General features: G+C 35.9%; 1 protein-coding gene across 2 annotated transcripts in view; it reads left to right on the top strand.

The window, feature by feature from the left end:
* Positions 1 to 12,381, top strand: part of CNTNAP2 (contactin associated protein 2) — a 2,304,198-nt gene that overhangs the window by 1,173,780 nt on the left and 1,118,037 nt on the right. For both annotated transcript variants that reach the window (NM_014141.6, XM_017011950.3), the window contains exon 9: positions 9,561 to 9,710. In NM_014141.6, the coding sequence (NP_054860.1) occupies positions 9,561 to 9,710 (150 nt within the window). The remainder of the gene's footprint in view (positions 1 to 9,560; positions 9,711 to 12,381) is intronic.

The following is a 12,381-nucleotide window of genomic DNA, read 5'->3' on the forward strand; positions in this document are numbered from 1 at the left end:
GTTGAGGCAGGAGAATTGCTTGAACCCGGGAGGTGGAGGTTGCAGTGGGCTGAGATTGCACCACTGCACTCCAGCCTCAGTGACAGAGTGAGACTCCATCTCCAAAAAAAAAAAAAAAAAAAAAAGGCACTGGATATACAGTGAAAAGAGGCACTGGATATACAGTGAAAAGAATACCTGTTTGCAGGTTGAGACCTTAAACAAGAAGGCAAAGCGTTAGCTCAGTTGGAAACTTGTGCCTTAGGACCACTCTGTACATGCATGAGTCTTTAAATGACCATGGGTATTGATTTTGGGTTTATAACTAAATTTTAGCAAGTAGGCAAATTCACAAATGTTGAATCTGCAAATAATAAGGACCAACTGTTCATGACATGCGCAGATCTTAAAAGTACAATTCAATGGATTTGGATGAGTATATACACTTAGACAGCAAACATGGAATCAGCATATAGAACTTTTTCTCTCCCTCAGAAAGTTCCTCGTGCCACCCTACAGTCCATTCCCACTTGTGCCCACCTTCCCATAGACAGCTGCTGTTCTGATTTCTATCAGCTTGATTTTTTTATTCTTTTTTTAAATTTTATTTTACTTGAAGTTCTGGGATACATGTGCCGAACGTACAGGTTTGTTATATAGCTATACATGTGCCATGGTGGTTTGCCGCACCTATCAACCCATCATCTAGGTTTTAAGCCCCACATGCATGAGGTATTTGTCCTAATGCTCTCCCTCCCCTTTCCCCTCACTCCACAACAGGCCCCGGTGTGTGATGTTCCCCTCCCTGTATCTATTTTATAAACTAGTTCTATGAACATATTCATAAAATATGTTATTTTTATGTCCAGGTTTTTCTTACAAAACACAATATTTTAAAAATTCATTGATGCTGTTGCTTGTATCACTAGTTCATTCCTTTTTCTTTTTTATTATTTAGCAATATTTCCTTGTTTGAATATATACTGTATGTACATGTGTTTATTTCCAATTTGCAACTGTCATGAATAAGGCTGTCAAGCATTCCTGTATGAGTATTTTTGCAACATACATTCTGATATTGGTAGATATATACTTAGGAGGGGGATTGTTGGGTCATAGGATTAATATATGTTTAACTTTATTAAAAATTGTCCAGAGTTTTCCAAAAAGATTGTACAATTTTATACTCCAACCAGCAATGCATGAGGGTTCAAATTGCTCTAGATGCTAGTTAGCCCTTTTAATTTTTGGCCACCGAAATGGGTATAAAATTATATATCATGGTTTTGGTTTCCCTGATGACTAATAATATAAAGCACTTTTTAATGTGCTTATGAATAATTAATAGATCTTTATTTGGGATGTGACTTCTGCCCATTTTTTCCAGTGATTATTGATTTACAGGAGCTCTTAGTATATTTTAGTATATTCTGTTTTAAGATACATGCACTGAAAATAATTTTTCCTAGTCTCTTTCTTGCCGTGGATTTTATTAACCATGTCTGTTGATGAGAAAAAGTTTTTAAATTTGATGGATCTCAAATTATCAAGTGATTTTGATGTCCTCTAGGAAACCTCTGTTAGCCCCCAGGTCCTGAAAATATTCTGTTTTCTTAGGTCTCAAATCCTTTCAGAACTATTTTTTTGTTTGATTGTATAAAGTAGAAGTCAAAAATACATCTTCTCTGTATTTATCCAGTTGTTCTGGCATCATTTTTTGTAAAAGACACTTTTCATTCACCATTAAATTGTCTTGGTGCCTTTGTTAAAAAACAATTGACTACCTACATGTGAGTCTATTTATGATCTTTCTCTGATGATATACATGTATAATCTTGAAATCAAATGATAAGTTCTCTAACTTGGTTTTTCTTTTTTGCTTATTTTGAATATTTAAGGATTTTTTTTGCATTTTCTTAAACATTTTTGAATCATCTCATGCATTTCTACAAAAACTATATTGTTGGGTTTCGGTTAGAATCGCATGGTATGTATCTCCATTTGTTTAGTGCCTTAATTTCTCTCACTGATGATTTGGAGGAATCAGGGTGGAACTTTAAAAGCTCCCCCAAATGACTCTCATGTGCAGACAAGATAAGGACCACTACCTAGATCCTTTTTTCTTAGAAGAATTTGGGTGCCTGTAAGAAAAGAATTCATCCCATCCATCCCTAAGATTCTACGTATTAAATAAATGAAGTGGTCATTTCTGTTTGTTTGTTTATTTGAGACAGGGTTTTGCTCTTATTGACCAGGCTGGAGTGCAATACCACAATCTTGGTTCACTGCAACCTCTGCCTCCCTAGTTCAGGTGATTCTCCTGCCTCAGCCTCTGGAGTAGCTGGGATTACAGGCATGCACCACCATGCTGGCTAATTTTGTATTTTTAGTAGAGACGGGGTTTCACCATGTTGGTCAGGCTGGTCTCAAACTCCAGACCTTGGGTGATATGCCCGCTTCTGCCTTCCAAAGTGCTGGGATTGCAGGCATAAGCCACCACACCCAGCTATGAAGTGATCATTTCTAATAACACATCCAAAAAATGTCATGACATACGATCTCCCCAATGTATTTGTTTTACTTAAAGTTTCTATTCAAGTGATTTTTCCAAAATAACCACACATTCCAAAGTGACTCTTTGTAACTTTACAATAAGGCATTTGGCAGTTTCTTTATCATAAAAAACAAAAGTACCTTGTACCTGCCCAAGCACCTTTTTACATGTTTTATCTGACAACAATTGATCATATTTATAATGTGGTTTAGATTGGCATGTGAAAATGAGAAAGGTCAAAATGGATCCATTTTCTTATGATATGGAATTTTTATAGATAAGAAATAGTGCATGGCATATTTATATGAAAATTTATATACCTTTTTAAAGTTTTATTGCATAAAAGGATAATTGATTATTAATAAGATATATTAGTAACACATCATAGAACCCTGTAACTGCCTAAAGATGAATTCATATTCTAGGAAATTTTGCTCTCAAGATTGAATATTGATCACAAGACTGAAAACTCCAGTCACTGTAATTTTACTTGAAGCATTTTCTAACAGATGTTACATCTTGGTTTGCCATTATATTTTAAATACGTTCTTTTTCTTTTTTCAACATTCATTAAACCAGTCTTTTCTTCTTGTCTCTAATAAGAGCAACATCTGTTTCTTCTTGTTCAATCAAAGCAACTTCCTCAAGAGTCTTACTTTAAAAATGATAACATTAGAAAGCACGGATAGAAAACTTTTCATTAATATTTTACATTTGCATACAAAACAAGTGTTTCTAACAATTATAAGTTAGGGAGGTGTTAGAGAAAATATTATAAAACAATTTAGTTATAAAAATATAAAATGAGAAGGTGCTGTAATATGGTTTCAAAGATGTTCGTTTTAGGTTAAATTTTCTTTATATGAATATCAGTTTCCTTTTAGAAGGTACAGTTGAAACACTTTTATCATTACGAATTATAACAATGGTACATACCACACTGTATGTGGTACAGAATTATAACAGTGGTACATACCACACCGGGTTCCAATTCAATCTCAGCCTCTTATGGGGCAAGCTCCACGTGTGCCTGAATATATTATGACCCCAAATATAAGGCAATTCTCCATTTTCCCTGGATTATTTTATATTTTTACTAACTTGCACATAAACTGTCAAGGCCTAAGTGAAGATGTCAATAATATTTATGTGTTTTTCAGATTACATACATAAATCATTTAGAAAGTTCATTTTTTCATTCTCACTTTTTAGAAATAATTTTGTTCTAATGTCTGCACAGGCAACTTTAATGTCAGTGTCTTTGCCCTAACTTTGTGAATCATCTACACATTTCTGTAGAACAAATCATCTTCACCTTTGTCTTAGTTGTTTAAGATATAGGATAAGTTTCCCATATCACTGTATATGTTTTCCCAAGCCTCAAATTCCCATTAACAAAGGACTGGCTAAGATGCATTTTTTAGTTGTCCTGTAGGTGAAATTTATGATCTCCACATTGTAAAGACTTACTGCATTGCTTTCTTGTTTAGAAAGCTTATCACTACATTAATATTTGTAATTATGAGATAGTAAACTCCAAAGACAATTTTTTTTTTTGTTTTGAGATGAAGTTTTGCTCTTGTTGCCCATTCTGGAGTGCAGTGACACGATCTCAGCTTGCTGCAACCTCCACATCCCGGGTTCAAGCAATTCTCCTGCCTCAGCCTCCCAAGTAGCTGGGATTACAAGTGCCCACCACCACACCCGGCTAATTTTTTGTATTTTTAGTAGAGACTGGGTTTCATCATGTTGGCCAGGCTGGTCTCAAACTCCTGACCTCAGGTAATCCACCCGCCTCGGCCTCCCATAGTGCTGGGATTGCAGGTGTGAGCCACAGCACCCTGATGAAAGACAAATTATTAAATGTGTCTCAGCTTACTTTTCTATGAAATAAAATGAATTAAAGTGTCCATGTTTTTGTCTTAATAATATAGATACACTGTCTCCTATCTGGCAGCCACCATTCTAATGCTGTACAAATACTAATAGTAACTAGTATACAAATACTTAATCCACCTACTCAAAGCCTCATTTTATTTCCAGACCTGATGCTGTATGAGATATGGCTATCCCCAGAAACTGAGCACTTCTCCAGATGTGGTAGCAAATGGAAGTGTGTGTGCGCATGCGTGTGTACCCATGTGTGTGTGTGCATGCGTGTGTGTGTGTGTGCACGTGTTGTGTGTGTGTGTTTGCATAGTATAAGAAAACTCTGATCATGGATGCACAGGGTCTATATAAATAATGTATTTTGTTGTGGTTCTTGTTTATTTGTTCAAGCTCTAGAACCAACTATGTCTGAGTTCAAATTCTAACCTTTACCTGTTACCATCTATAGGATGCTTACAGATTGGTAGACTCAGTCCTTCCCTATATACTGGAGATAATTGTTTAAAAAAATTTTGTGAGGTATTACGAATCAAATGCAAGCAAAGTATCACCATGGCTAGCACATAGAGCTTAGAACTTTATACTATATATGCTGACATATAAAAAGATCATGAAATTCTATTCTTCTCTGGAGACAGCCTTCAGGATACTATTTCTTACAAGATGTAGACAAAATATGAAAGAAGCAGCACATTTTTCTATAAGAAATTGGGTCTTCCTTGCCACATTTAAGAATAAACTTCATTACATTTGGGGACCCATTTTTATCATAGATTACTGAGGTATTACCTCTTGATAATTAACATTAAAATTTCAAAATAATAATTGGAAATGAAATGAATAGGAATCAAAGCTTAAGCTTTGATACAGTAGTGGCTGCTATCAGCAAGGATCCTTTAATCTGGGTTCTAATTTCTCTAGTAATTAAGTTCCTGGAAGAAAATAAAATAACCTTTTAATTTTAATCTGATTAGAATAATAGACCTTTTGCCATGAAAAATTAAAAGGAAGATGTTCCATTTCTAAATTAATTTTGTGATGGAGAAATTGTCGTGGAATTCTCTGAAAGGCTTTCTTGTTCTTCCACTTAGAGTAACCGAAGATATTTTATAAGGGTCTATCTCTGGACATGTGATTATTTAGGATTGGATTTGGGGACTGAACAAATATCACGTTGATATCTTTGAGATCCATGTCCTAAAACTGTATTTCATAGCAGGGTTTGTCAAATTATAAAGACAAAAATCAAAAAACCATGCAGTCCTATAGTTAATCAACAATAAATCCTACTTTGTACTTTAAAGGGAAATGCTATGGTGAAGATAGGGTCTTCAGTGCATCAATTCCTTGGGAATACCCAAAGGGACCCACTTGAGATGGAACTATTTCAGTAAACACTGCTGCTTGACTGACAGTTAACTTCAAGAATAAGCCTTTACATGCATAGAGTAATTTTATAGTACAAGAGATTGTATCTGTGTTGTTCTTCAGAATATTTGAAAGATAAGAAATAACATTTATTGTTTTCCCAATTTTTGTATGGACAGGAAAAATAAAACTCTGGGATTAAATGACTTAAGATATTCTTGTCAGAAACAGAACTTGGACTTAAATCATGCCTTTTTCTTTTTCCAGTGAGGAACTATCTTACAAAGTAACCTATGAGTACCAAAAAGTAGACCCTGATATATGAATATGGGTGCATATTGTTTATTTGACATTGGTCCAATAAATGCAATCTGGGAGAGGGGAGGTGAGACAAGTTGGGGTGGAAAGCCACAAAAAGGTTCTTTAATAAGGAGATTGTTACTATGGGCACCTGAGTTCTAGCCCACTGGAGTCTCTCTGAGAGGCTGTAGTAACTACAGTCCCTTGCACACCTAGTTTCTGGACTGTTCCTCTTTCTACATCATTGGAAGCCATTGAAATGTATGGGAGTTTTCTGCAGGTGACAGCCAGAGTGGGATGAAGAGATATACTTCATTTAATAACTTGATAACAGAGAAAGGTCAATTACAAATGGACTTAGGATGATGGGGATTTCCAGGAACATCTATTGACATTAAATTAAACTTAACAAAAAAAATTATATCCACTTAATCCTTACCCTTAGAATGAGTCATATTGCACATTACCGTGTAGAGCTGAGAAGCCATAGTCAGCAACTCCAATGCTATTTTTATTGCTTTTTTATGTTTCATCATTTACTTGGCCATCTATGAAACCTAGAGTGCCAGATTCCTGGTCATGATCACTCCCTCAGATTCATTCAGTTATTCATTCACACCCACTATGTACCAGACATGGTTTTAACTTTAGGGTTTTTTTAGTAGAGAAGAAAACAGACAAAAGAGAGCTTATAATCAAGTGATAGAAGACAGAAAATTAGTAAGTATGCTAGTAAATGAACATATAATAAATTTAGTAATGAGAAACTATAAGGAAAAATAAAGCTCAGAAAAGAAGGAATGTTGGGAGAGAGAGGAAAATGATATGTTATTTAGAATAGCTAGGAAAGACCACCTCTCTCTTAAGATGACATTTGCACAGAGATCTGATGTGAGGGAGCAAAACCATGCAGATAATTCACACGAGGCATTCCAGATGGTTCACATGACACATCTTAGTTCACCAAAAGGACTTTAGTCAGTACTTTTCGTGAGTTCAAAAAGAACAGAAAGCTGTTATAGGGAATAGTGTGATCTCAGTTATACATTTATAAAGATAATACCACTTTGTGGGGAGATTAGACTGTTAGTGCAAAGAGTGAAATCAGAGGAACAATTGGGGGGTAATGAAATACTCTGTATTCATCTGTTGATGGACACTTTGGTTGCTTCCAAATCTTAGCTATCGTAAACAGTGCTGCAACAAACATAGGAGTGCAGATATCTCTTCCGTGTACGTATTTTCTTCCTTTTGGGTATATACGTAGTAGTTGGATTGCTGGATCATATGGTAGACCAGAGATGATAGTGGGCTCACATAGCTGTTTGCCTTATTACATTATTTATATTATGCATACTATTTATACATATATTCACTTGTATGCTAAATTTTATAATTTGGAAAGTCTTTTGCATTAATTCCTTTAGAGCAGGGATTTTATACTGTTTTCTTGATTGAAACAAAATGTGCTCAGTGGCCAGGCGCAGTGGCTCAGGCCTGTAATCCCAGCACTTTGGGAGGCCAAGGTGGGTGGATCACTTGAGGTCAGGAGTTCAGGACCAGCCTGACATGGTGAAACCATGTCTCTACTAAAAATACAAAATTAGCCAGCTGTGGTGATGCACGCCTATAATCCCCGCTACTTGGGAGGCTGAGGTGGGAGAATCACTTGAACCCAGGAGGCGGAGGTTGCAGTGAGCCGAGATCCCGTCATTGCACTCCAGCCTAGGAAACAAGAGTGAAACTCCATCACAAAAAAAAAAGAGGGGCTCAGTAAGTATTACTAAATTAAAATTTGAAAATCCTAAAAAAAACCCACAAAACCCTGAGGGGTGATTATGTGTAATAATACTTACTATGAGTAACTACTACAAACATGTGACTATCTTCTAAGCTCCAACAGCCCTTAAGTTCTTTAAAATAGTTTTTCTATTTCTTAGTATAAACCAACTAGTAATGTATGATTTTCCTATAAAGGAGCACATGTAGTAAATAGCCTAGGCTTTATGAACTACATAGTTTCCAGTGCAGCTGACTCTTGATGTAGGGCATGTGGTATGTAAATAAATGTACTTGGCTACATTCCAATAACATTTATATGGACACTAACATTTGAATTGTATATAATTTTCACATGTCACTAAACATTATTCTTCTTTTGATTTCTTTCCAACCATTTAGAAAAGTAAAAACCATTCTTAGCTCACAGGTTATAGAAAAGCAGGTGGCAGCAAGCCAGATTTCAGCCACAAACTGTGGTTTTTCAGATTCCTGGTATAAATTATCAGGAGCTTGGAGCCTTGATCTGTGTGTCATTGATTTGCTCTCATTCTATTTTTGGACACCTTTATTCGTTAGAGTTCTCTTTCTTTTGTGAAACTGAAGCACGTCCTCATGTAACTTCTACCTGTGGATTCTACATTGTGCCGTCTGAAGAAGAATAGCACAAAATACCCCCCACCCACCACCTTGTCATAGCACAGGCCTTCACAGGGTCGAAGAAAGCCCCTCTGGCCCTCTTGGTTTTCTCTGCTACCCAGTGTTAAACTTTGTCCAGATGCTTATGTTTCCTGGCTGCTCTCCTATTTTTGCTTTTTAATTTTCTGACTATTCTTCATAAAATGAACACAAACTAAACAAAAGCTTTAAGCTACTGTCCAGCTAATGGACAATTCAATCTAATTTTTGTTTCCAAAGATCGTTGTATCAAGCAACAATGAAGTGCCATTGTTGGGGATATGCATTCTTGATTTATTTTGCTGTTTTTTTTTTTTAATACCATGTACTCCATTATAAAGATAACTTATTTGTAAATGTTCAGATAATCCTATCATTATTTTCCATGACTATTAGTGGTCAGTTCGTACTTATAACTACACATGCACAGTTATTATTTAGTACTTAATTTCTATAAACTATACTTACCAAATGTGTTTATTGAGAGAAAACAAGCTATACAGAAAAATAAAGATTTTAAAAACAAAGACAGACTTTAGATAAAAGCCATAAATTCATTTTCTTGTCTGAGAATAAGATCTAGCAAAGCTAACCAGAAAATAAATTACTAAGTTAAAGTAGTTCATAATTCACTAAGTTAAAATAGCACATAATCATAAAATGTGCTCAGTGGCTGGATGCAGTGGCTCACGCCTGTAATCCCAGCACTTTGGGAGGCCGAGGTCATCTAAATGACTTTTTTTCAATCCATTTCTTTCCCTAAGTACACAGCGGTATTAATACTGCTTCTCTACTTGATTGGGTTATATTATGCCTTATTCAGTTAGGTGGAGTATAGAACCACTTATGATGATGTTAAAGAGACATGAGACGTCAGTTTGAATTGTAAGCAGCACTGTATTTTCCAAGAGAAAAATACTTTTATTTGTAAAATCGTGATTTGTTGATTTTGGAAATTGTGTTCAGCTGGGTAATTTTAAGATAAAAATGACTTTTATCTTGTACTTACCAGGTTCTGGGTTGAATGATGGACAGTGGCACGAGGTTCGCTTCCTAGCCAAGGAAAATTTTGCTATTCTCACCATCGATGGAGATGAAGCATCAGCAGTTCGAACTAATAGTCCCCTTCAAGTTAAAACTGGCGAGAAGTACTTTTTTGGAGGTAAGAATGCCATTCCTTTTTGGTTACTAATCCATTGCAAAAAATGAGGTTTCAAAATGAAGTTTGATTATGAAGTATTTATATTTGACTCAACTGACTCAGTAGATCTCATGACAAAACAAACTGTAATTCCACTGAGCAAAACAAAAAAAGAAAAGGAAAAATTTTATTTCTTTCTGATGAAGATATTAAGATGATGTCACCATATTCTTCTGGCCTAATTTAAATCATTGAAGTATAAAAAAGGAGATTCTAAATTCATCCTCATAATCCTCAAAAGTCAGGTCCTTGGAATATTTGCTGTTCACCTAGTGCTTTGTAACTAATTATTCAAACCTTAGTGTCTTCAAACAAACATTTATTATCTCGCAGTTTCTCTGGATCAGGAATTCAGTAGTAATTTGCTGAGCGAGTCTTTCATGAGGTTGACGTCAAACTGTTACTTGTGGCTGCATCATTGGAAGCCTCGTCTGCTTCCGGTAGGTCTCACTTACCTGGCTGACAGTTGGTGCTGGCTGGGATGCCTCAGTTCTCTGTGGCCTCTGATTCTGTAATACCTTTCTTCTTCAAGTAGCCTCTCCCGGGGGTCACTGGGCAGAGAAATAGAGAGGGAAAAGGAAAGAAAGAGAGGAGGGGAGGGGAAAGCCAGTAAGTCAGGAAGTTCTCCAGATAAAAACTATGAGTATTTTTTAAAATATAATCCAATTTAGCAGTGATATCCCATCACTACTATTATTTTCAACCTGTGGGAAGTGAGTCACTAAATCCCGTCCACAGTTAAAGGAAGGGGATTTCACAAGGGCATGATTATAAAGAGCCATTGATTCCTGGGTGCCATTTTAAAGGTGCCTACCACAGTCTACCTTACAGAAGAAGACATGTTGTCACAAACATCTTGGTTCTTAAGTAACGAAAAGATTAGTAAGAAGAAGATTATCTTAATGATAAACTCTATGTGTGAAAAAGTGTTGTAGCAAAGACCTGTCACATTTTCTAATTGAAAAAATGTGTCCTGTCAGAAAATGATCTTTTTCATAACTAATACATTATGAGGACATATTTTATTAAAGTGCTGGGTACTTTGTTTAGATCAATACATCTTTTATTAGATTATTGTGTTTCCTGTCCTAAATCACGCAATGTGAGATGTAAAAAATAAATCACATGCTTAGAAAAGGCTTTTATTTAAGCTTTAAAATCTGTATGTTACATGTTTGCCTCTGAAAATGTTTCTATTTGTATTTACATATCTACTTTGTTTAATTAAATATATAGTTATATAGCTCTCTCTCTCTCTCTCTCTGTGTGTGTGTGTGTGTGTGTGTGTGTGTGTGTGTGTGTGTGTGTGTGTGTGTTCTAGTTTTTAGAGTAAGGTGACATGAGAGCAGCCACCTTGTTTATCTCATACCCTGCTATATTCCTCAAGGTCCTAGAAAAAATCCTGGAATGTTGTAGATGAACAATAAATATTTATGAAAGACTTAGTAAATTCTACAAATTAAGCAAGACGTCACTTTATTATGAATTGTCTAGAGAGGAAACAGAGGAGGCCCTAGGCAATTTACTGACTTGCCACTGAGTTTGCAGCTAGCACCTTAAGTTTTCTGAGTCCTATACCAGGGCATTTCTCCCCATCTAATTAGTGACAAGTTAGAGACAAAAATCATGAACTAGGGCTCTGCTTCTTTAATCTTCCATAATATTTGTTGGAAGTTAAGACTACATGATTTTTAAAAGACTCTCAATAAATATTTGATGAGTAGACGAAAGTCAAACAAGCTGTCTTATGAGTGAATGAACTGGACATACTGATGTGAGAAAAAACAACTCAATAGCCAAACTGGTTACCGTCCAAAAAAATATTCAATATGATTGGCTTATGGCCAACAGTTTTCATTGCTATGATCACAAATAGATCACAGTTGTCAGTGGGAAAGCTACTGATAATCTCTGCTGATCCCTTGACTGGAATATTTTTGGCCATACATGAGCTCCCTGAATGCCTAAGGCCAGTTTTTATCGATTTCAATCTAGAGGGGCGAGCACATAGCTGTAACCACACATTCATGGCATAGAGTTTATAGGATATGAGGTCTTTATGGTGTGCTATTTACATCAGTTTACAGATTCTGGTTTTTGAGCCCAGGAGTCAGGAGAATATTGATTTCCTCTTGGGTCTATGGTCTGCCTTTAGGATATACTGTCAGCTAATGATCACGATGCTTGTTTTGTTATATCGTCATTAGCTGAATCCTAAGTGTGTAAGAATCATGAGAAGAACTCATTGCCATTCTGGCTCTCAGGCCCCACCTCTGGAACTTTGAAATTCAAGAGAATGAGAAATTGAATACTTAAAAACTTCAAGTGATTCTGATAAACACAGTCTGAGAAACAGAATTATAGATTGACCTTAGCCAATTTGCACACATGCCTTTTAGATTCTTTTTGTAAAACATCGTCAGTCACTGAAAAGTTTGGGATGCATGAGAATTAGCTACTCTCCTATAGCTTTGCCCCCAGAGGGCAAAAGAAGGGAAGTCACAGGACAAGTTATGATGCCCATAAACATATTTATTAAATGAACAATTATTACCAAGAAAGCACAGCACTGTTCATAAACATTCTTCTGCAAGCTCAGTGAGGTCCCAGCTCTCTAACTTGCTGCACCTTG

Source organism: Homo sapiens, chromosome 7 (genome assembly GCF_000001405.40).
Source record: "Homo sapiens chromosome 7, GRCh38.p14 Primary Assembly".
In the NCBI taxonomy this organism is placed as follows: domain Eukaryota; kingdom Metazoa; phylum Chordata; class Mammalia; order Primates; family Hominidae; genus Homo; species Homo sapiens.